This window comes from Homo sapiens, chromosome 11 (genome assembly GCF_000001405.40).
Source record: "Homo sapiens chromosome 11, GRCh38.p14 Primary Assembly".
NCBI lineage: Eukaryota > Metazoa > Chordata > Mammalia > Primates > Hominidae > Homo > Homo sapiens.
Window position 1 is genome coordinate 11,022,827 of NC_000011.10, and position 22,773 is coordinate 11,045,599.

Below are 22,773 nucleotides of genomic sequence, written 5' to 3' on the forward strand. Positions count from 1 at the left end.
AAAATCTGTTCAGTCATTTGTCCACTTACTCAATATTTATTGAATGCTTTCTATGCTTTGGTTGGAGATATGCCCCCTGCTAACAAGAAGACCACAGGAGGTGATGGCAAATACGGAAAAACCAACAGTCCTGGGGAACCTTGTTGGAGCACATTTAATCCAGTTGTTGTTGTTGTTACTGAAGTAGAGGAGACAGGCAGATAAGTCTTCCCGATGGAAGTGACACCAAAGCTGAGATCTGAAGGATAGTAAGAGTGTGTTATACTAAAGAGGATGTCTCCTGTGTTCATTCTCCTCTTGGGGTGGATGTAGCTGAGAGAATAAGAGAGCTTTAGAGTCCCAATTGAGGTTACTTTTTATGTGCTGTTAGTGCATTGGTGGCCCCTCCAGCCCTCACCTTGGTAGTTATGACAAATCAGAGAGTGTCCAGCAGATAGTGATCAGGGTGGTGGGAGGACACTTAAAGAAATTGGGAAAAGCTGTGAAACGAAGTGCTTGGTAAGTGGACAGATTCTATTGCATAAGATTAATGCTGCCTATTAATATTAGAAGGTATTAATAGCTGCCATTATGTTAGGTTTTTCATTTAATAGAATGTGTTATACCCACATCAGCAGGGCCGTGTCAGTGTGGGCTGTTGGCCAAGATGTGGGAATGGCATCATTATGTGTACCCAGACACGTAATGGTATTCTGCGTTGGGAATCTACTTCTATGATCTGATATAGGTTGTTAATTAATAAATGTATTACAGAAAAAGATGCCCAGCAGCAAACTGGTTACACTGGAGAATGGTTGGCCCAAATCCAAAGGATGAATGTCCTTTGAACATCATTTCATCCTCTGCTCCCTTTGTAGGCACCTGGAATTAATGCTGAGAAGAACTGATGTTTGCCTTAGCAAGGCATATACAGTGGCTTCAGCAGGCCTGGGCAGGGCCTGCAATTTTCAGACCGAGTGCTGCTGAGTTCAGCACACCATCTCTTAACTTTAAACTGTGTGTCCCTTATCCTTTGCAGCACCCTTGCACTATTGTTTCCCTTATGATATAAAAGTATTTGTGTGTATCCATGTCTTTAGTAACAATGAAAACCCATGAAAGGTAGCCCAAAAGGGGTTGTATGTTTCAAGAAAAATGGCAGAAAGCACAGTTCTTTGTGGGATTAAAAAGTATGTGTATGTATTTAATATAAACCAAGTGTGTCTGCATATAAAAGCTTGTCTACCTCCTTCGTTCATATAGCTCTCTTGGATTTTGTGGGTATTTGCTTCAGGACAGGCAGGAACTGTTCTAGGCAGTGGCCCAGAGCGAGCATTACTAACCTTGACTGTCATTCTGTCCCAGGTGGCATCCCCTCCTCAGATCCCAGCGCTGTCCATATACATGCTGGTCACATTTAAAGGGCCATGGATGGGGCTTAAGGGCAAAGCTCTAATATGTCAACAATTTCTTCTAACGGGATCTTGCTTCTCTTCTTTTGTATAGCTCAAGTCAGAAGTAATGTGATGTTTTATTGGGATGGCCTTGGTGTTTTGTTGTCTACACTTAATTATATCTAAAATAATTTGTTTTCTCTGTGGCCAGCAATGGATCTGTGAATTCACCAGTCTGGGTCCTGCCTCTCAGCCTTTGCCACTTCACAACTGGGGCCGGTGGATTTTCAGCTGCAGGCTTGGTCCTCCAGGCCTGTTTTTAATGGTTATGGTGGGAGGAGATCAAGATAACCCAGGGTTGAGCATTGGACTGTCCTGCTGCCTGGGTACAACTAAGTCTTACCTAGATCTGATGCTGGGTTTCTGCTTTTCCCTTCTGACAAAATGCTAGCCCTTGAGGACTTGCCTTGAGAACCTTCTAGGACTTTATGTTCTACTCCTGTTTAACACTACTGATCATTTCAGCATTCTTCAGGAGCATGGATTTTGAACAAGGAGGCCAGAACAAAGTAAAGAAGTTAGTCTAACCATTAGAATACATTAGACACACCCATTGACCAATGGGGGGCAAGTGCCACTGTATTAGAGAAATTGATGATGTAATATTCAGAGAATAATAAATAGTGCTTCCAGCTTGAATGATGCATAGTCTCTTTTTAGAAGAAAACAATGCTGACAAATAATTTTATTATCATAATTAATTTAAATATACACAGATGCTAAACTAAGTATAATCTTAAAAACATAACCCATGTATAAATTTAAGTATAAGCAATACTGTGTAAACATTAACATTTAACATAAAAGCTTAGACAAGCTTTTATGAATTTATAAAATACAAACAAATCCACAAAATCAATAGAATTAAGATTAATCTTTAATAGGATCAATGATGTTGGTTTGCTAAAACAAAATCATTTCTTGCCATGTGGATATGGTCCTGGGGCTATGGCACAGGTTTGTGTGAGTTGGCCACGACTCTGCTGAATGTGCTGCATGCCGCATGATGACTCAGTGTGTCTTCCATCTTCCTCTATCCTAAATATCATGACACTTTTGTTTCTACAGGATGCTGTGAGGTCATTTGTTCCTCACTTGTCAATGATCACATTGTTTGTGTTGAAGTCCATCACACTCATTTTTCACTAGTCTGAGAGAATTAAAGCAGTTCTATTTGACCCTTATGCTGTCATAAACACAAATCTACATGTGGACATAGAAATTCTGTGGTTTGAGTTGGTCATTCAGTTGACCCACAAGATATGAATATTGATTATTTTTATATTTTCATCAATATGAAAACAAATTAAAAAAACAATATCAGAATCTCATGAACTCAGAGAAAATGTCCAGTGGGCTTAGTTTGAGAAATACTGGCATGAAAAGCCCAATGGCATGACTAGCTCCCTGATATGGGGCAGGAATTGAGGGAAAGATCAGGGGCTTAAATTGCCAGAGGGTGACAAAATCAGTTTCTACCTGCTGTAATCTATATCCCAGCAAAGTTGGTCTGTTCTCAGATTTACTGGCAAACTGAGGCAACTTAATTGCTCATTCGCGTTCTGCTCTTCAACTATTATTCTGTATCTGGTATGGTGCTGCCATGCCTCTCTGATAGTGACCACTTGCCGTCCTGCCCAGTGGTAGGCTTAGGAATTAGGGGTCTAATCTGGCTGCTCATTGTCCAGAAGCACAGACTGGAAACTCTAGTCTGAAAAATGTTTATGCTATTCTAATATTTGAGTGTGTATCTGTATCATCAGGAGAATTTTAGATAATAGCCATTAGGAGGTCCCAAGAGAATGGCCTATATTTCTAGTTGTAAAGGGTCTTTTGGAGTAAAGAAGGAACACTGACCAAGGAAACGTTCAGACAACTACAAGGAATCCATGAGCTTGGTTGCCTTTTACAGGAGGGGCAGATAAAAAGGATATGGGCTGTAACTGGCTTTGATAACGCCCCAACCCAATGAAGAATTTTGAGTTGTTAAAACATGTTGTTTCTAGACTCCAAACACTGACCCACTTGGGAGAAAATGAGGCAGCATGGTACCAGATCTGTGGGATCTGTTCCCAAAATCCTATTGACAGGCTTGGTCCACTTGCAGGTCACCCTCCATGGTCTTTGGTCAACTTTTCTGTGGTCATCATAGCTTGATGGGACTTTCTCTGGCAGTTGTCCCATTCAAACCAGTTGTCCACAGCCTTGCCTGCTTCAAGAGTCCAAGGACCAAACCTCAAGGAGTACCTCAGATTGTTCCCCAAGTGCTGCCACTGACCTCATTTGGACTGACGATGCACTTAACAATTTGACTTTCCACTCTTATTTTTCCTGAAACTCAATACTCCCAATTGAGTTCTACTAGCTGTATTTGTGAAAAGTAATCACAAACATTTTTTTAGAATACAGTGAAATGTGAAGGAATGATTTATTGTGTACATGCATATGGCAGAATATGTGTAAGTGGTTATAGATCAGTTCTGGAATTAGACAGGCCTGAGTTTTAACTTAATCTTGCCACATAGGAGCTGTATGAACTTAGACAAATTACTTAATCTAAGATGTAGTTTTCTTATTCATAAACATGGATCATAATAACACCTATTTCATAGCGTTATTGAGAGGACTAAACGGGATAGCACAGTGTCTGGCACATAATTGGCACTCAACAAGTGGTAATTTATTATTATTAATTGAGCATTTATATATGCAGGCCTCTGGGTTAGGCCCAAGGGATGCAAAGATCTCCATCCTCAAGTAGCTCACAATAGATCTGAGTTCTTCCCAGGGGACACTCAGAAGGGGTCCAACAATCAGATTTGATGTCAAATCAACTGAATTTGCGACCAGAGTAAACAGAATTTCTCCTCATTGCCCGACCCTGATTAGGATGGGATTAATTGTATAGCCTGCGTTCTAGAATTAAACTGCATATTGAGGCTGAGAACATCCAGGTGGGGAGACGGGAGGTCAGCAAGTCCAGTTTCCACAATTTTATGGTTCAGACTTGGCCTAATTTGGCCATTCTGGGAAGTCTTAGAATGGCAGCAGAGAGGCTCCTCAGCCCTTGTTGAGAGATGCTAATGAAGAATTTGTGTCTCACCAATGGCTACTGCATGAGAAAGCTAGAAGGAACCTCAGGCCATCGTTTCTTACTAATGGTCAAAAACATATGCCTCAAGCATGATTCATAAAGATATCATTTTAGTCTTTGCCTCCTTATTTCTGAGTCAGTACACAAATAGCTTGTTTTCTGAAGCTTCAGGGAAGCCCAGATTGACACATTAGCCAGGGAGTAATGTGCCTTCTTTCTGGGCTGGCTGTCCATAATGCATTCAAATCCAGAAAAAAAGTAGGAATTTGTTCAAAATTTATCAATTGGGCCATTTTCTCAATGACAAACAGATGGCTCCTTTGAGTTATTCAGAGGGAGAAGATTTTTTTTTCCTTTTGTTCATCTCAGTTTTTATGGTTTAAAAGAATTAGTGTTTAATCCCAATTCTAAAATTGTTAATTAGTTTGTATTTGCTTCACTAAATCTGTTAAATAGATTTTTATCACTTTAGCTATATCTCTCTGGCAGCATCTGGTGTCAACTTTGCAGAAATAATGTTGGTTTTACAGCCAAAAATCAGAGGTTAAACCTCCAGGACTACAGATGTGACAGCATTAAAGGGAAATTCATCACCCCCAAAGCTTTCATTCCCATATAGTTTAGAATCAGCCCAAACATGAACCAATGTTCTTTTTTCCCTTTCATTCTCCAGGAGCACTGTGGCTCAGTTCCTTTTTGATTTATGAGTGTGGTTGTTGCTGATGAGATCTCCCAGGGAGACCTCAATCTGCCCCAGCTAGAGGCTTGGAAAACAGTGGAGGATCTTCTTGCTCAACCCCCTTTCTGTTGCTTTCAGGGGATTCCATCCAGGGCTAGGGCTATCCATCAATTCATTTGACAATGGGCATGTATGAGGTGAGGGCTGTGCGGGTACAAGCTCTGTAGTGTCACCTGCCGGCAGGGGGCACAATAGGGCAGAGCAGCAAAACGAAGGCAGTGTATGTTACAAACGAGCTACTCTGAACTCAAATCAGTGCACCTGGGGGAATAATTAAATGAAAGACAGCAAATCATCATAAAGGCTGGGGAATTTGAGTAACAGGGAAAACCTGTTGGGCAGCAATCAATTTAGGTCTCTGTGGTAGGCTGAATAGTAGCCCCTAAAAATATCTACTTCTGAATCCCCAGAACCTGTGAATGTTACTTTATAATATGGCAAAGGGTATTTTGCAGCTGTGATTAAGCAGCTTGCAACGGGGAGATTATTCTGGGTTCTTTGAGTGGACCCTAAAGGTAATCATGAGTGTCCTGATAGGAGAGAGGCAGAGGGAGATTCCACAGAAGAGGAGAAGGTGATATGATGGTGGAAGCAGAGATTGAATTGATGAACTTTGAAGATGGAGGAGGAGGCCACAAGCCAAGGAAGACAGACAGGCACCAGCCGCTGAAAGAAACAAGGAAACAGATTCTCCTTTCAAAGCCTCTGGAAGGAATTAGCACTGTCAACACCCCAACTTTAGCCCAGTGAAATTGGTTTTTGGGCTATGTACTACCAGAACTGTGAGAGAATAAATTTGTGTTGTTTTAAGTCACCATAATAATGGTAGTTTGTTGCAGTAGGAATGAATACAGTATCTTTTCCTTGCTTAATGCCAAAGAGTTCCACTGCAGCTGCCAGAGGTATTTTACAGGGCCAAGAGGAGATAGCAGGGATCAGCATAGTGCATTGACTTCTTCAAGAAGAGCTCCTTCTTCTGAAGTCCATCTGTAATACAGGTGTGGGCAGCTGCAGCCTGAAGCAGAAATGGGACTAGCAACTGGGAAGCCCTGTGTGATTGGCGAAGAACGTTTCTGAGTGTCATGGACCCTAGGCAATAGCAGACAGTGTGAGAATTCTCTGCAATTAACATATTTGCATAAATATTAGGAAGAGGCCTGATTAGCACAGTGAGCGTGACTCAGAGGAAAGTGGAGGGCAGAGGTGATCAGGGAAGAGGCTCTGAAGAGGGGTGAGGACAGAGATGCCACCCTAGGCACATCCAATGCTCTGATGGAGAGGGACTGGTTGTGAACAGCTAAGTTGCTATGGCCTTGCCCTTCAGATGTAGCTGTGGACAGTGGGAGGGGAATCTGTGGGCAGACCTCTGGAGCTACCATCCCCATTTCACTCAAATGACTCCAATTTTATTTGTTGGACACATTGGGCTTCCAGGTGGAATTTCACTTAAGAAAAAATTTTACTGGTGGAAAAAGATTTTGGGGGGTAAATTTTAATTTTGATACAATTTTACATGTACAGAAAATTGCAATAGTACAAAGAATTCCCATTTACCCTTCCCTCAGATTCACCAAGTTTGCATTTTGGCCTATTTGCATTATCATTTGTTCTAAGTATTAATGTTTTTTTTCCTGAACCATTTGAGAGTAAGTAGGCATTATATTCCTTTACCTCCAAATATATCAGTGTGTATTTTATTAGAACAGGACATTTTGTTATATAACCATGGTACAATGATGAAAATTGGGAAATTTAACACTGACAAAATGCTGTCATCTAATCTTCAGCCCAAATCCAAATTTTGCCAATTGCCTTTATAGCAATTTTCCCCCCGGTCCAAGATTTGATCCAGCATTGCATTTATTTCTCATATCTCTCCAGTCTGCTTTAATTTGGAATATTTCCTGAGCTTTTGACCTTGACATTTTTGAATAGCACAGGTCAGTAATTTTGTAAATTGTCCCTCAGTTTGGGTTTGTCTAACATTTCCTTATGATGAGATTCAGATCTTGCATTTGAGCTTGAAACTCACAGATGTATGTTGTGTCCTTCTCAGAACATGGTATTTGAAGGCACATGTGGTTGCTTTGTCTCATGGGTGATGGTGGCATTGATCCCTTGGTTACATTGTTGTCCTCCAGGTTTCTTTACTGTAAGTTATAATTTTCCCCTGTGTAATTAATAAGTAATTTTTGAAAGATACTTTAAAACTAGGCAAATATCCTGTTCCTTATTGAATCATCACCCACTAGTTTTAGCACCCACTGGTAATTCTTACTTGTGTCAAAAGAAAAAATTACAACAAATTTAGTTTAAAGATTGAATTGACTTCCATTTGCCATTCCAGAATCAGGCAACATCTCATTAAGAATGACTGTTCTAATGAGCTGAGCAGAGGAGATTGACTTTATAGGCTGAAAAGCACTGAAGAAAGCAGAAACAGAGAATAAAAAGTGGATTGGTTGTTTCAAAGTTGCTCTCGTTATGGGGTTAAAACAGAGGGGACTTCCTTATGCCGACTCAGGTAGACTAGAATCTCTTGTTTTTTGGAAAACTTGCCTATTTCAAAGTTCAGTTTGATGGCATGGCACTCAGCACAAAATTTCCATTCTGGTTTGGTCTGGTCTACTTGGTCCTGATGCAGGAGGCTCGTCCAAAACAGGAGCCTCCCATAAACTTTGTTTAACTCTTGAATCTATAATAACTGTGATGATTGCAAAATGGCGATTTATCTAACTCCATCATTTTTTCTACATTAATTTGTTGGCATAATTCTAAAAGAAAGATCTTTCTCTTATCTCCCACTTGTTTATTCACTTATTTAATTATATCAGCATACACTCATAGATTCTTATTTTATTCAATGAGTTTTTTTTTTTTTTTTTTTTTTGAGATGGAGTTTCACTCTTGTCCAGGCTGGAGTGCAATGGCATGATCTTGGCTCACTACAACCTCCACCTCCCAGGTTCAAGTGATTCTCCTGCCTTAGCCTCCCAAGTAGCTGGGATTACAGGCACGCACTACCACGCCAGGCTAAGTTTTGTATTTTTAGTAGAGACGGGATTTCACCACGTTGGCCAGGCTGGTCTCAAGCTCCTGACCTCAGGTGATCTGCCCGCCTTGGCCTCCCAAATTTCTGGGATTACAGGTGTAAGCCACTGCGCCTGGCCTTCAATGAGTTTTAAGTCATTATTATTGCTATGTATTTTGATGTTCACATTGACCCAGATTTGGCCAGGAGAAGCCCCTTCAAACTGGCCTTTATGTTTTTTGATGTGCTGCTTCTTCTTCATTTTTTTTTTAAGCACTTTTTTACTTTTAAGATATCCCAGGTCCTTCTTGGCTCAAACTTGCAATCAGCCATTTCTTCAAGAAACCCTCAAATTATTGTAAGAAACAATGTTTAGAAGACCTGGGCCGGCATGGTGGCTCATGCCTGTAATCCCAACACTTTGGGAGGCCAAGGTGGCCAGATTGCTTGAGCTTCGGAGTTCAAGACCAGCCTAGGCAATGTGGCATATCCCATTTCTACAAAAAATACCAAAATTAGCTGGGTGTGGTGTGCCTGTAGTCCCAGCTAGTGGGAGGCTGATTATATCTGTAAATCCAGCACTTTTGGAGGCCGAGGTGGGTGGATCACCTGAGGTCAGGAGTTTGAGACCAGCCCATCTACCCTGTAGGGAACCATTCTCATTAGTTTCTGGCTTATCTTTTCTCAATTTCCTTTCACAACTAAGTAAGCAAATACATGTAATTTTCTTATTTCCTCTTCCTACACAAAAGGTAGAATATTACGTATACTCTTTTGCACTTTGCTTCTTCACTTACAAGATATTTCCTGGAAATCACTCCACATTGCTTCATCTTCATTCTCTTTTACCACTGCATAGCACTGCATTGTGTGGATATAATTTAGTTTATTCAATAAATCTATCTATGAGCATTTAGGTTATTACCAATATTTTGCAATGACAGATAATACTGCAGTGAATAAACTTGTACATATATAATTTTGTATTTCTGCAGGCTTATTTTTAGAGTAAATTCCTAGAAGTGGGATTTCTGGAACAAAAGGTAAATGCATATATAGTGTTGTTAAATACTGCCAAATTCCTTCCCATAAGGCTGTATCATTTTGCATTCCTACCAGCAATGTGTAAGAGTGTCTGTTTCTCCTCAGCCTTGCCAACATAGAGTGTTGCCAAGTTCTAAAATTTTTGCTTATTATTCATAGGTGATAAATGTCATTTCACTGTAGTTTTAATTTGCATTTTTCTTATAATGAATTGAACAACTTCTCATAAGTGTTTAGGGGCATTTTATATCTTTTTTAGGTAAATTGTTTGTTCGTGACTTTTGCTCATTCTTTTTTATTTCTTTTCCTTTTTCTTTTTTAGAGATGGAGTCTATCTATGTCATCTAGGCTGGTCTCAAGCTCCTAAGCTCAAGCAATCCCTCCCGTCTCAGGTACTCCTCATAAGCAGCTGGGACTACACGCATGTTCTACCATACTTGGCTTTATTCATTTTTCTATCAGGTGTTTTTGCCTCTGTTTTTGGCCCTCACTTTTTTTTTTTTTTGAGGCGGACTCTCCCTCTGTCTCCCAGGTTGGAGTGCAGTGGCGCGATCTTGGCTCACTGCAAGCTCTGTCTCTTGGGTTCACGCCATTCTCCTGCCTCAGCCTCCTGAGTAGCTGGGACCACAGGCGCCCACCACCAGGCCCGGCTAATTTTTTTGTATTTTTAGTAGAGACGGGGTTTCACTGTGTTAGCCAGGATGGTCTCGATCTCCTGACCTCATAATCCGCCCGTCTTGGCTTCCCAAAGTGCTGGGATTACAGGCGTGAGCCACCGTGCCCAACCGGCCCTCACTTTTTAAGATTTCCTTGTGTATTATAGACATTAGAACTTCAATTGTGATATATGTTGCAGATATTTTTCTAAAACTTTTGTTTAATACCACTACTTTAACTAGTTAGCAACTAGCTATAAATATGTATGCTTGTGTTAACTGTTAATGAACTCTGTTGCTTACTCCTGTGCCTGTGTGGGAAATGATTATAAACCTCAAATGTCTTTAATTTAGCCTAGATTAAAATTAAATTTAAGTAGACTTTCCAACAAATGGTATTGGAGCAATTGGACACAAAGGCAATAAAAAAATACCCAACTCAATCTAAGTCTCATGTCTTATGCAAAAATTAACTCAAAATGGATCACAGATTTAGATATAAAACATAAAACTATAAAACTTTTAGAAAAAACAAAGAAGAAAATCTTTGGGATCTAGAGCTAGGCAAAAGTGCTCAGACTTGACAACAAAAGCACAATTTGATAGATTAGATCTCATCAAAATTATTAACTTTTGCTCTGTGAAATCTCATGTGAAGAGGATGAAAAAACATCTGTGGACTGGGAAAAGTTATTTGCAAACCACGTATTTGACAAAAGACTAATATCTAGAGTATATAAAGAACTCTCAAAACTCAACAGCAAAAAAGCTAAACTATCCGATTAGAAAATGGGTAGAATGTATAATATCAAAATAATGGCACAACCACTCTGGAAAACAGTTTAACAGTTTTGTTTAAAAAAATGCAACTGCCATACCACCTAGCAGTTACAGGTTCAGGCATTTCTTCCGGAGAAATACTTAACATTTACAGAGAAACCAGTGCACAGATATTTATAGCAGCTTTATTTGTAATAGCTAAAAACTGGAATCAGTCCAGATGTTCTGCAGCAGTTGAATGGTTAAACTATCTGTGGTACATACATATCATGGAATACTACTCAACCATAAAAGGACCGAGCGCAGTGGCTGACGCCTGTAATCCCAGCACTTTCGGAGGCCGAGGCGGGCAGATCACGAGGTCAGGAGATCGAGACCATCCTGGCTAACACGGTGAAACCCTGTCTCTACTAAAAATACAAAAAAATTAGCCGGGCGTGGTGGCGGGTGCCTGTAGTCCCAGCTACTCGGGAGGCTGAGGCAGGAGAATGGCACGAACCTGGGGGGCGGAGCTTGCAGTGAGTGGAGATCGCGCCACCGCACTCCAGCCTGGGCGACAGAGCGAGACTCCGTCTCGGGGGAAAAAAAAAAAAAAAAAGAAAATGGGCAGAATGTATAATATCAAAATAATGGCACAACCGCTCTGGAAAACAGTTTAACAGTTTCTTTTAAAAAAATGCAACTGCCATGCTACCTAACAATTACAGGTTCAGGCATTTCTCCCCGAGAAATGCTTACATTTACAGTAAGCAGTGCACAGATATTTATAGCAGGTTTATTTGTAATAGCTAAAAACTGGAATCAGTCCAGATGTCCTGCAACAGTTGAATGGTTAAACTATCTGTGGTACGTACATATCATGGAATACTACTCAACCGTAAAAGTAACAAACTACCTGTACTCATATATGCAACAATTTGGATCAATCTATAGGGAATTTTGCTGCATGGAAAAAGCTAATACCAAGAGGTTGCATACTGCATGATTTCATTTATATAACATTCTTGAAATGAGAGCATTTTAGAATTGGGAGACAGACTGGTGGTTGCCCAGGGTTAGGACCTAGGGGAAGGCGGTTGGCGTGGGAGGAAGATAGGTGTGATTATGAAAGGTCAGATGAGGGATCCTGGTGGTGTTGAAATGTCTTCACTGTGTGGTGGAGGCATGAGCGTAACACAGGTGATAACAATGTGTGAAACACCCCCCACCCCACAAACACACACAAATCCGTACAGGTAAAGTAGGAAATCAGGATAAGATGTGTGGATTGTGTCAGTGTCAATCAGTGATATTGTACTATAGTCTTGCAAAACAAAACAAACATTTTGTTACCATGGGGAAGCTGGACATAATGTACAAAGACTCCCTCTGTATTATTTCTTATAACTGCATGTGACTTTATAATCATCTCAATAAAAGTTTCAATAAAAAATAAGTTAAAGCCAAAGCCTACGGGTTTTTAACAAAAACCTCGAGGAAAACTTAAAGAGCTGTCCACCCCTGCTTTGAGAATGTAGAGTCCTGGATAAGCAATTAAGTTTTGTTGAGACCAGCACTTCTTTTTTTTTTTTTTTTAATTTTTTATTATTATACTTTAAGTTTTAGGGTACATGTGCACAATGTGCAGGTTAGTTACATATGTATACATGTGCCATGCTGGTGTGCTGCACCCATTAACTCGTCATTTAGCATTAGGTATAACTCCTAATGCTATCCCTCCCCCCTCCCCCCACCCCACAACAGTCCCCAGAGTGTGATGTTCCCCTTCCTGTGTCCATGTGAGACCAGCACTTCTTAATTGGGGTCAGTACCACCCCATGGGGGTGTGTTTGAAAATGTCTGGGAGTGGTTATGGTTGTCACACTGACTGGGGGATGTCTTTGGTACTCAGTGGACAGGACCAAGAATGCTAAATATCCCGCAGTGCCTGGGACAACCTGACACATGGTGAGAATATTCTTAACCCCAAATGCCAGCAGCATTCCACTGAGAAACAAGATTAGATGGCTAAAATCTTAGCAACTATTTAGATAGTTTGTGCCTTAACATTTAAGTGAAATCTATGCTTATTCTATATCTTGTCATCATAAAATTGAGTTTCTAAGTCTGTTTATTAATGGACAAAGAGCCTTCCCTTAATATTAAACATTTTTAAAGTTTAATTTTTAAATAATAGTTTTAAGCTCAAGACTCTAAAATTGTTATAGGAAACATTTATTGCAATATATTTGTTGTAATGAAGAATATTTCATTTTTTTTGGAGAAAACAGTCTTTTTTTATCTTGTTTAAAGTTGTGAACTATATTTTCTGCAGAAATTTGATCTTCACCTTACCTAACCTTAACCTTAACCTTCTTAACCTTAACCTTAACCTTTGTGATGATGACATCACTGATACTGTGCTAATTAACTCAATTAGTAGAAACGGACAGTGTGAACTACTTTAAAAGAGAAGCATAGCTGGAGATAGGTTTTTTTTCAAAGTTTATTTTACAAGTAAAATATAGTGAATTTGATTACCTCAAAAACATAACAGAGAATCTCTTTTTCATGCCATTTCTCAGTAAGGTTTTTAGCTCTTCTCATTTAACTTTTTCTTTTCTTTATGAAGTCCTGAGATAAATGAGCCATTTCTGGAGGAACAATCCAGATGGCTTTTGCGGTCACCATCCTGGAGTATGAATTGAGGAGGAAGGCGTTCTTTTCAAAATGAGCCACAAGCAAAACTCCTCCTGGTTGGTCATCCATTCTCTGCCCTGACATGTTGTGTGCAGAAACCCATGTGACAGCATGAGTGTGTTGTGTGGATATGTGCTTCCCAGGACAGGATTATGTACAGGGGAGTTGTACAGACATGGAGTGTACAGATACATTGTAGAGACAAATGTTAAAGAGACATACAGTGTACAGAAATTGGATTGTAGAGATATGAACTTCACATACAGGAGTTACAAAAGCATGGTATGCAGATTGGATTATTGAGATGCAGGTTGTCTAGACACTGGCCCTGAAGGCATAGGTTGTGTAGACACAGCCTGGGACCAAGCTCTTTGGTCCTGGCCTTAAAGCAGGGTGTGCAGCATGAGCCCAGTGATGGTTGCCTGGCTATGTGCCAGAAGTGGGACTCTGATGTCTGTGCAGAGGGTGAGGGCAGGACGGTATATTCTGCCACTCTACTTTGAGCACTGGCTTTGAAGCTTTCCCTCCAATGCCATTCCCACCCCCAAGGGACTCAGGAAATGACTTCTGTCTTTTCTTTGATAGAACAAAGAAAGAGAGAGTTCTAATAGATGAGAGAGAGAGAAAGAGAGAGAGAGAGAGAGAGAGAAAGAGAGAACACCAGATTCAGACACAGAAGGTTCTCAAGGATGACCATGGTGAAGTCTGGGCTTCAGCAGGTCTTACAGACCACCAGGGGTCAGTCTTGGGTTCTACAAGAGGAAACCAGGAGGTATTTGCTCAGCACTGGTTCTCACCTGAGGACCATTCAGAGGAATTTATTCCACTTTAATATACTATGGTGTTAGCAGCTTTGAAATTCTTTACCGCCAAGGGGGCCTTAAAGCCAATGAAGCAGGAGTCTCAGGAATGACCCGTATGTCAGGCCTGCTTGTTTATAATCCTCAGGACCACAATAAAAGGCAAGTTTAATCGCCTGGTGATTCGGGACTTGGGGGCCCAAGTGTGCTAACCCACCCGTCAGGCCCAGGGGTCTGCCTGAGCTTGGGAGGGAGGGAGTTTGGGGCTGGGCCTGGTTGGGAAGCCTCAGGCCTGGGCTAGGTCCAGGGCTGGGCTGGGCTGAGGCTGGGGCTGGAGGGGGCTTCAAGTGAACTTTGGTTCTGAGGTCACTGGTTTTCCTGTTGTAGTAACTGACTTCACAGACTCTGTCAGGATGAAGGAAGACACAATGCTGCCAGTACAGCTGCTTCTACAGGAAGCCCCATCCCTGATAGCTAAGGCTAGACTCAGCTTGGTACTTAGTGATAAAAACAAGAACACTACCACAGCTATTGCACATTTACTATGTGCCTGGCACCACTGTAAGCACTTTTGTGCTTCTTTAATCCTCATAAGAATCCTAGGAGGTAAGTACTAGTATTATCCCCATGGACAGATGAGGGAAGTAAGGTTTAAATAACCTAAGTAACTTGCCTCAGGTCACTCAGCTGGTAAATGCCACAGCTGGGGTGAACCCAGGCACTCTGGCTCCTTAGCCATGCTCACAACCCACACTACTAGATAATACTGCAACGTTAAGAGCCTTTGGAGAGTCTATATGTCAGCCCTCTTGTGGCAGATGAGGAAACTGAGGCCCAGACCCAGGTCACATAGCTGGTGAGTGGTAGAGTTTGAACCCAGACCCAGGTCTCTGGCTCCCAGCTTAGAGCTCTTGTCACAATACCATGCAGCCACCATTTGCACCAAACCAAGTTGCAAGACATTTTAGCTAAAATGCAAGCTTTGGGTCAAGGAATTGGAAAGGGCCAGAATTATCCTACGGTCTCCCGGCCTCATGGGGTTGAATGCTTCATAACTAAGCCCAGGCACTATCAGCTTGTCAGAGGGTAGGGGCCAAGGACATGGCCCCTCCAGCTGCAGACAAACTGCTGGGCAGGATCCAGGCTGGGGTCAGCTAATAGCCCCTACACTTCCACCCCCATTTCCAGGCCAGGGGGACACATCCTGGACAAGCGAGAAAACCTGGCAGAAAGAAACAGAGAATTTTTCTTCCTTCAGGCAAACAGGCTCCTCTCAGATCAGAAACTGTGACAGGGTTTTCATGGGAGGTACAGGCTGTGATAGGAACAGAGAGCTCTGGTATAAGCAGCTCTGAGAGAAGGAGTAAATCATCTCCTGAAATGTTCTGGGCAGCTGCTCACTCACTAACAAAAATACCCTGCTTGGCACAGCTCTGGTCACTCAAAAACTACTCCAGGGACCTGGCAATTTTCAAGGTGTGGCTCTGCTCTTGAGGAAGGCAAAAGGAACTGTTGGGAGAAGAGTGCAGTGTGTGCCAGGCCCTCAGAGCGGGGATGCAGGGGAGCCCAGAGGAACTCTGAGCAGGGCTAGGGGTAGAAAATAGCAGTGCAGAGCTCAATGGTGCCTGCGCCTCCCAGCTCCCCAGCAACCTGCGCTTGTGCCTAGCTCAGCAGGTGTTTGTTGAGTGGAACTGAAATCAATAATGAGAAAATCCTGAATGAAGGCTCCAAACAACAAATTGCTCAAGTGTAGGACGAGGAAAGCTGGCTTAGCAGAGGCCAGGGTGCAAAGCTCTGGGGAGCTTTAGCTGAGTGAACACTCATTATGAGCCAGCTATGTGTTGTGGCTGTCAGCAAAGCTAATGAATCTATCCTAAATTGTGCTACCGTCAGCTTCGATTCCAGATCAAAGGGGAAGATAATCCCTGCAGGCTTTGCTTTGGTCAGCCCATCAGTCCAGATCTGAAAATCCATGTCCACTTCTGGGCCTCACATGTTTAAGGGGATTTGGGCAAATTGGAACATATTCAGAGAAGAAAGATGCAAAGATATGAAGCCATGTCATGCTGACTGATGCAGGACTGGGACTATTTGGGCTGCGAAACATTGGTCTGGAAGCAGGGAAGAGGAGGGGAGCTGGCGGTTGTTTTTGAAACTGTGAAGGGCTCTTGTGGGAAGGGAGAATTAGGTATTCTGATTTGTACCAGAGGCAGCAAAGAGTTAAATAAGAAGCAGGAGATTTGGAGCCAGACAGATGTGGGTTCATGTGCTGGCTCCTTCTCATTTTACCAGGTGACAATGGTCAAGCCACATGACCTCCTCAAGCTTCAGTACTAAATCAGTGAGATGGAAACAGAAATGCTTATTGCTCAGCACTGTCGGGATTATACACCCAGCACAACACCTTCCCCATAGTGGCTACCCAAAGACCTTTTCCCTTTCCGTCCAGAAGACAGAAGCTTCCCAAAGGAGTACCATGGCAGGAGGAAGGGCAAACTTCCTCACAGTCATGGCTGGCTTCAAAAGCCAACTTGCTTTTTATGTTGCTTTGTTTATGTTTTTCTCCTAGAAGAATGCTTACTTTTTATTCCCTTTCCTTTTGGCCTGTGTTATCATAGTTTCTAATATAAATTATTGAGTCACTTTGCATTTTTTAAAAATGAGAAACAGAACACACAAGTACAAGGCATCTAGCCCTAACAATTGTTTATTTTCAACCAGGGGCTGCTTGTCTCTTTGGTTAGCGCTGAAGAGGCTCTTTTAAGTCTGAAAATGGACTTCTCATTCTGGGGCTGGATGACTCACCCGAGCTTAATGTCCCTAGATGGGGTCCCCATCCCATCCCCAAAGCCTCTGTCCTAAGTTCTGCAAAGGGTTAGAGGCCAATGTCTCTGTCCTAACCCCCACCAAGACAGCTAACCTGGGGTGAAAGATAACTCAGGGGAATTATTAGAACATGTCTGGCTGCTTCTGTAAATGTATGAATAGAAGCCCATTGTCCCTATCATTCCTGACTTCTGTTGGGCCAGGCCTCAGTTAGTCCATGCTGATGGGCACGGTGGAGGCTTTATCTGTTAGACTCCTTGGATGGAGGCTCTCTTGGAGCCTAGGACTAATATCCATCAGCAGAGGCAGGACAGTTCTCACTCTGACGTTCTGCAACTCCCTGAAAGTGTAGAGAGAATGGGTGCAGTCAGAAGAGTTTATGGACTGTCCGGGTGGCACTGATGGGCCCAGTGAGCTGTGTAGTGAGTGACCTATGGAGTTTGGAGATTGGGGGGCCACTGGCATGTCATTAACTCAAAGCAGCAAATGAGGCAGCATGGTTGGAGGGAGGAGCTGGATTGGAGGATGTGGCGGGGGAGCCCAGGACTCAGTGAGATGGTAGTCTTGCGTGTCGCTTCTGGAGAGATGGATGAAGTCAGAAACAGGAGAATGAACAATGAGGCCTGTAAACAGCAGAAGTGAAGAACAGGATGGGATAAAGGCCGTGGAGCAGGACACACAGTTCAGGGCTGATGCCATGAGCAGTGAGAGGGCTGGAGGGCGTGGCAGGGGTACGGGATAGTGGATTGAAGGGCCAGGGAACACGAATACTGGCCAAGGGTTTCCCCAATAGGCCTCTATTGATTCCCAGCACAGAAAAGTCACGACCTCAGTTGTACATTGTGGAGCATGGTCAAAGCCAAGTCCTGTCTTTGACGTTCATGCCAAGCCTAATTGGATCCAAATAAGGTCCGTATGCTACAATTGTTTGATGTCTCTCAAGTCTTGCTTCAGTTTTTCTTTAAAGTTTATTTGTTGAAGAAAGAGAGTCGTATGCCTTGTAGTTTCCTACAGGCTGACTTTTGCTGCTTGTCTTCCTGTGGTGTTATTAACACCTTCCTCTGTCTTCTGTATTTACCCTAGCTTGGTAGGTAGATCCATAAGTTTGGTCAGATCCAGGTTTGAGTTTAGACCATCAAGAAGTACATAACATCTAAGTGCCTCATACTCTGTGATGTTACAACTATTGAAAATCATTGGCTGGATCTGTCAATTCATTTTGGCTGGATTGCAAAATGATGATAGTTTACTTCTACCATTTCTTCTTTGTTTATTAAATTATTACATCTATGGAGAGAAGTTTCCCTTTATGAGCTATTTAATTATCCTGAAGTACAGTCATATAGGAAAGGCAGGAAAAAATGCTGGATTCTTTTTTTTTTATTTATTTACCAATTTGGAAAGTGTAAACACTTGATACGGTTCGGTCCATGGGGGTGCTTATCCCTGTTGGTGCTCGTATTGTCCACCCCATCACTGGCTGACCATGAAGAATTTATTCAAGGGTCTCCAGACCCTTTACCCCAAGCCTAAGAGTCTTTTGAAGCTTCTTTGCTTTCTGGTATGACAAAATGTTCCAGGCTCATCTTGTACATTCCTTCCCGTAATCTGGAATGAGCCATTTCTCCAAGAATTCTCGCTTTTGTTTTGTTTTTTTTTTTTCTAAGTGGGAAATGGTTTTAAAGAACTCCGATTTGGGCACTAGGGTTTTTGTTAACACTCTTTCTAATCATTTTAATCATTGTTTCTTGGCTCTATAAAGAGATGGCACTGGAAAATATGTGTTTATTTTTAAAGATAACATATACTTTGAGGTTTATAAAAATTGATAGCTGTAACTCAAATGCGTAACTGCAGGTTTTTAAAAATATCATCAACCTTATACCTGTACCTTCTTTTACTCATGTTAAAAATCCAGGCTGTCAATGACATTAGTATAATAGCTTATTGTTTTATCTCATAACTATACACACAACAATCTCAGAATAGCAATAGCGACCCTACCACTAACAATGTGACTACTGAAGAGAGTTTAAGATTATTTTTCATTTTTAAAACACCTTTTAAAGGCACTTGGAATAGTTCTTTTCTGTGTGATTATGCCTCCAACATTGTAAACATTTAGATTTGTTTCATTTTACTTTCGATTTTAGGAATTACCTTTTGAAATGTAATTGTGTTTTATAATTACGTAAAATATTTAAATGCTTCAAAACCCAAGTCTAAAATGTAAACTGTATTTATAAAATATAATTTCTATTCCTGTTTTTGCCACCTTAGTCTCTCCTGCCCCTATCAGTAATCATTAAAAAACGTTTTTTTAATGGTTTACCCCTTGCCATGGTTTGGGTTTTTCTACAAAGCAGAGTCTGAGACAATGGATGCGTGCGGGTAATTAATTTGGGGACGTGACCCCAGGAGACAGTCATGAGAGACTGTGGAAGAGGGAAACAAAAGGAAGGAATGCCAAGCTAAGAAGGTGTTGTTGAGCTGATGACAATGGGCAACTGGGGCTCAGGCCCACAGAGGACCTTCTGAGGAACCATGCAGAATGTGCCTGAGGATCGCCTGTCCAGGACAGGAAGATGAGAGTATTGATCCTCTGCCCCTGTGTGTTCTTGTTCCCTGTTGATCAAGGATTGCCCTGGGGGTGTTAACGCCCTTGGACTTCCAAGTGTGCTCATAAGCCAAAGAGGTTGTCAGCAGTGGCTGAGACATCTCAGAGAAACCTGCAGGAGATATATACAGTGCAGCTTGGGCAAGGAAGGGGCTGTGTCAGGCTGCAAGTGTGCACAGCTATAGTACACCTACAGCTATAGTAGTGGCTGGATGGAGCCAAGGGGTGGCCTATGAATGGAAGACGGGCATAAAGAGTCCAACTCTCCTTTCATTGTGGGTTTTTTTGAAAACTATAGGCAAATAGGTATACATATCCCCTCTTGCTTAGATAAATGGTAAAATAATACTGTATACACTGTATTCCAGCTTGCTTTCCTCACTTACCCTGTTGTAGCAAACACTCCACAGTATTACTTAGAGATCTTTGTTGCTTTCCACAGGTGCCTCATGCCCCTTCACACGGACCCACCATCATATAATGAACCAGTCCCCTTTGGATGAGGGTGTTTGGGTGATTTCCAGTTTTTGCTTTTATAAATACTGCTGCAATGAATAAATGTTCCTTTACTTTTTTATCCTTTTGTGTTTTACAAGTGTTCCTTTGACTCCTAGATGTGGGATTCTAGCTTAAAAGATGAATAAGTACGTAGTTTTTCTAGATATTGCCAAATTCTCCTCCATAGGAGCTGTACCTTTTGCATTCCCATCAGCAATGTAAAGAATGCCTGTTCCCCCTGAGTTTCACCAATAGAATTTGTTGTCTAACTTGGATTTTAGCTGATTGGCTGATGAGAAATCAAGTCTCGATATAGTTTTAATCTTCATTTTTCTATCATGAGCAAGGTTGCACATTTTTTTCATACTTCTATATTTCTGCAGCTGAGATGAGCCCCCTATATTTTGGCTTTCACTTTGAGCCTCAGTCATATCTGGGCTTTTGCCTTGCAGGGCATGCTGTGACTTCTTTGGCCAGTGGGGTGACGAGGAGCATTTGAGGATACCTCTTAAGCCTGTGATCTTAGCTTTGCCTCTCTGAGGCCTACAAGCTGGAGATCAGCTTCAGTCCACCTGGGAACCAGTGAAAAACAGTAATAATCAAAACAGGCTTTACACCTGTATAGCAGTTTGCAAAAAATCTCAGATGAATTGTGTCATTTGGTCTTCTCAATAACCCCATGAAGCGTGTGCTTTCAACCTGTTTACAAATGGGGAAACTGAGGCTCAGAGAAGTCAAGTGACTCACCCAAGGGCACACAGCTGGAGAGTGGTAGAGCTGGGCCTCTTCTCGGGTCGGTTTGATCCCAAAGCCCTGGCTCTTCCCACTGCACCATAGAGAATCTGAACTTGACAGATGCTTTACCATTCAGGCTGCCAAGTGGAAACTGCAAGATGGATAATGAGGAAGTCATTTTTCAGGGGATCAGTGTGGATGAAAGATTAATTGATGAAATGCTGCCAAAAGGAGGATTCAGAGTCTGGATTATGTTCCAGGAACTCAGGGCACCAGGAGGAGGGAGAACATTCTAGAAGAGAAAGATAACAGGAGAGGAAAGAAGGAGGATGGAGATCAAAGCCGGACACTTGACATCCCAAACAGCTGGTCTCAGGCACTGCTTTTGGGTGGCAGCGCTCACGGGATACCCCTGCTTAGAGGCTGGCCACCTACTGGTCCCTCTGCCCCAGTTATCTTGGGGACCTGGGGTTTCTCTGTCTCCTGCCCTCCCATGCCACACCCAAGGCAGTGGCCTCCGTGGGGAGGCCTGCCTGGTACACACTGCTCAGATCCATCTGCTCATCTCCATGCTGCCAGCCCTGCCTCCCTGGGCTGGCTCCACTCCCTGCCTTCCTCTTGGACATGTTTTCTAGGGAGGTCATGTCTTGCTGCTCTCAGAGGCAGGCAGAGCAATGCTGAATTCTGACCCCATCACTTTTTGTGCTGCCTTAGAGAGGTCGTTCTCAGAACCTCCCTTCCCTCAACTGTAAAATGAGGATGGTATGCCTGCCAAGAAGAGTTGCGGTCAGGGTGAAGTAAGGTCTGGAAACCTCCTAGCCCAGTGCCAGGCCTTGGGAAACTGCTCCGTAAGAGGCGGCCATTTTCATCTTGGTGATGCCACCTTGGCCTCTCAGAAGCATGCCTCCTTCCCTGTACTGTGCTCCTCTCCAGCCTTCTCTCAGATAATGCTGGCTGTGATACTGGATTCCTGGGTGTTGTTTCATCCTTCCCCTTCCTGGGGAATTATTGCTTCTAACCTAGCTGCCCTGGGCTGAGAGGAGGGGCTGGGTCAGCGGGAGGCAGGAAGGGCAGCTTCGTACACAAGCCCTCCCTGGGTCTTGCTAACTTCCTGCCCACTCTCCTGTCCCCAACACCTTCCCACTCTGCTCCAGCCTGGGGGAGGTGGATGCAGCTCACTCTGTGTAACCAGTCCCTGGCAGAACCCTGTTCCAAGGGAGGACTCCCCAGGTCATCTCAGCTGGTGCTCCTGGGCTCTTTCAGGAATCTCTGCCTGCAGACCTCACCTGCTACCTCCCCTCAGCCCTTGGTAGAGCCATGATGGACAAGCCTCTTCACTGGCTTGGCCAGGAGAGCCTTAGGCCCTGGAACTAGGTGGGAGGGGCTGCCGGGGTACAGCCTCAGAGCTCAAAGATTTAACTCTCTTTCCTGAGGGGCCAGTTATAGTCCCTAAAATGCTTTAAGAGGAGGATCCTACCTGCCTCTTCTTCTCTAGCACAGCTAGAGTGATAACTTGGTAGGAGGACTGTGGAGGTACAGCAGGACCAGGCCTGTGGGCAGGAGAGGTGCCAGGACTGATCAGACTGGAGCTTGGCAGGGTTACTGGACCAGTTCCTGTGGTGGCTGCCAGGTACCCCAATGAAATAAGCCTGGTGCAGGCTGGCATCATCTGGTGCAGGGGCCTATGGGGAGGGGCAGCAGGCATCTCAGGAAAGCAGGGAGCCCGGAGAGGATCAGAATGGCCCTTTAATGAGCCCCTCTTGTGTGTTGGCATTGCATCTGTGTCAAGTGGGTGGTAACAGCAGAGCACAGGAGGCATATCCTGGAACCCAGAGAAAATG

At 42.9% G+C, this 22,773-nt stretch overlaps 2 annotated features.

The window, feature by feature from the left end:
- Positions 14,017-14,517: an enhancer, noted in NCBI's record as "H3K4me1 hESC enhancer chr11:11058390-11058890 (GRCh37/hg19 assembly coordinates)". NCBI's record gives its function as "activates a minimal SCP1, AML or CMV promoter by ChIP-STARR-seq in naive H9 embryonic stem cells {active_cell/tissue: H9 hESC(naive)}" and the evidence as "EXISTENCE:reporter gene assay evidence [ECO:0000049][PMID:30033119]".
- Positions 14,518-15,018: an enhancer, noted in NCBI's record as "H3K4me1 hESC enhancer chr11:11058891-11059391 (GRCh37/hg19 assembly coordinates)". NCBI's record gives its function as "activates a minimal SCP1, AML or CMV promoter by ChIP-STARR-seq in naive H9 embryonic stem cells {active_cell/tissue: H9 hESC(naive)}" and the evidence as "EXISTENCE:reporter gene assay evidence [ECO:0000049][PMID:30033119]".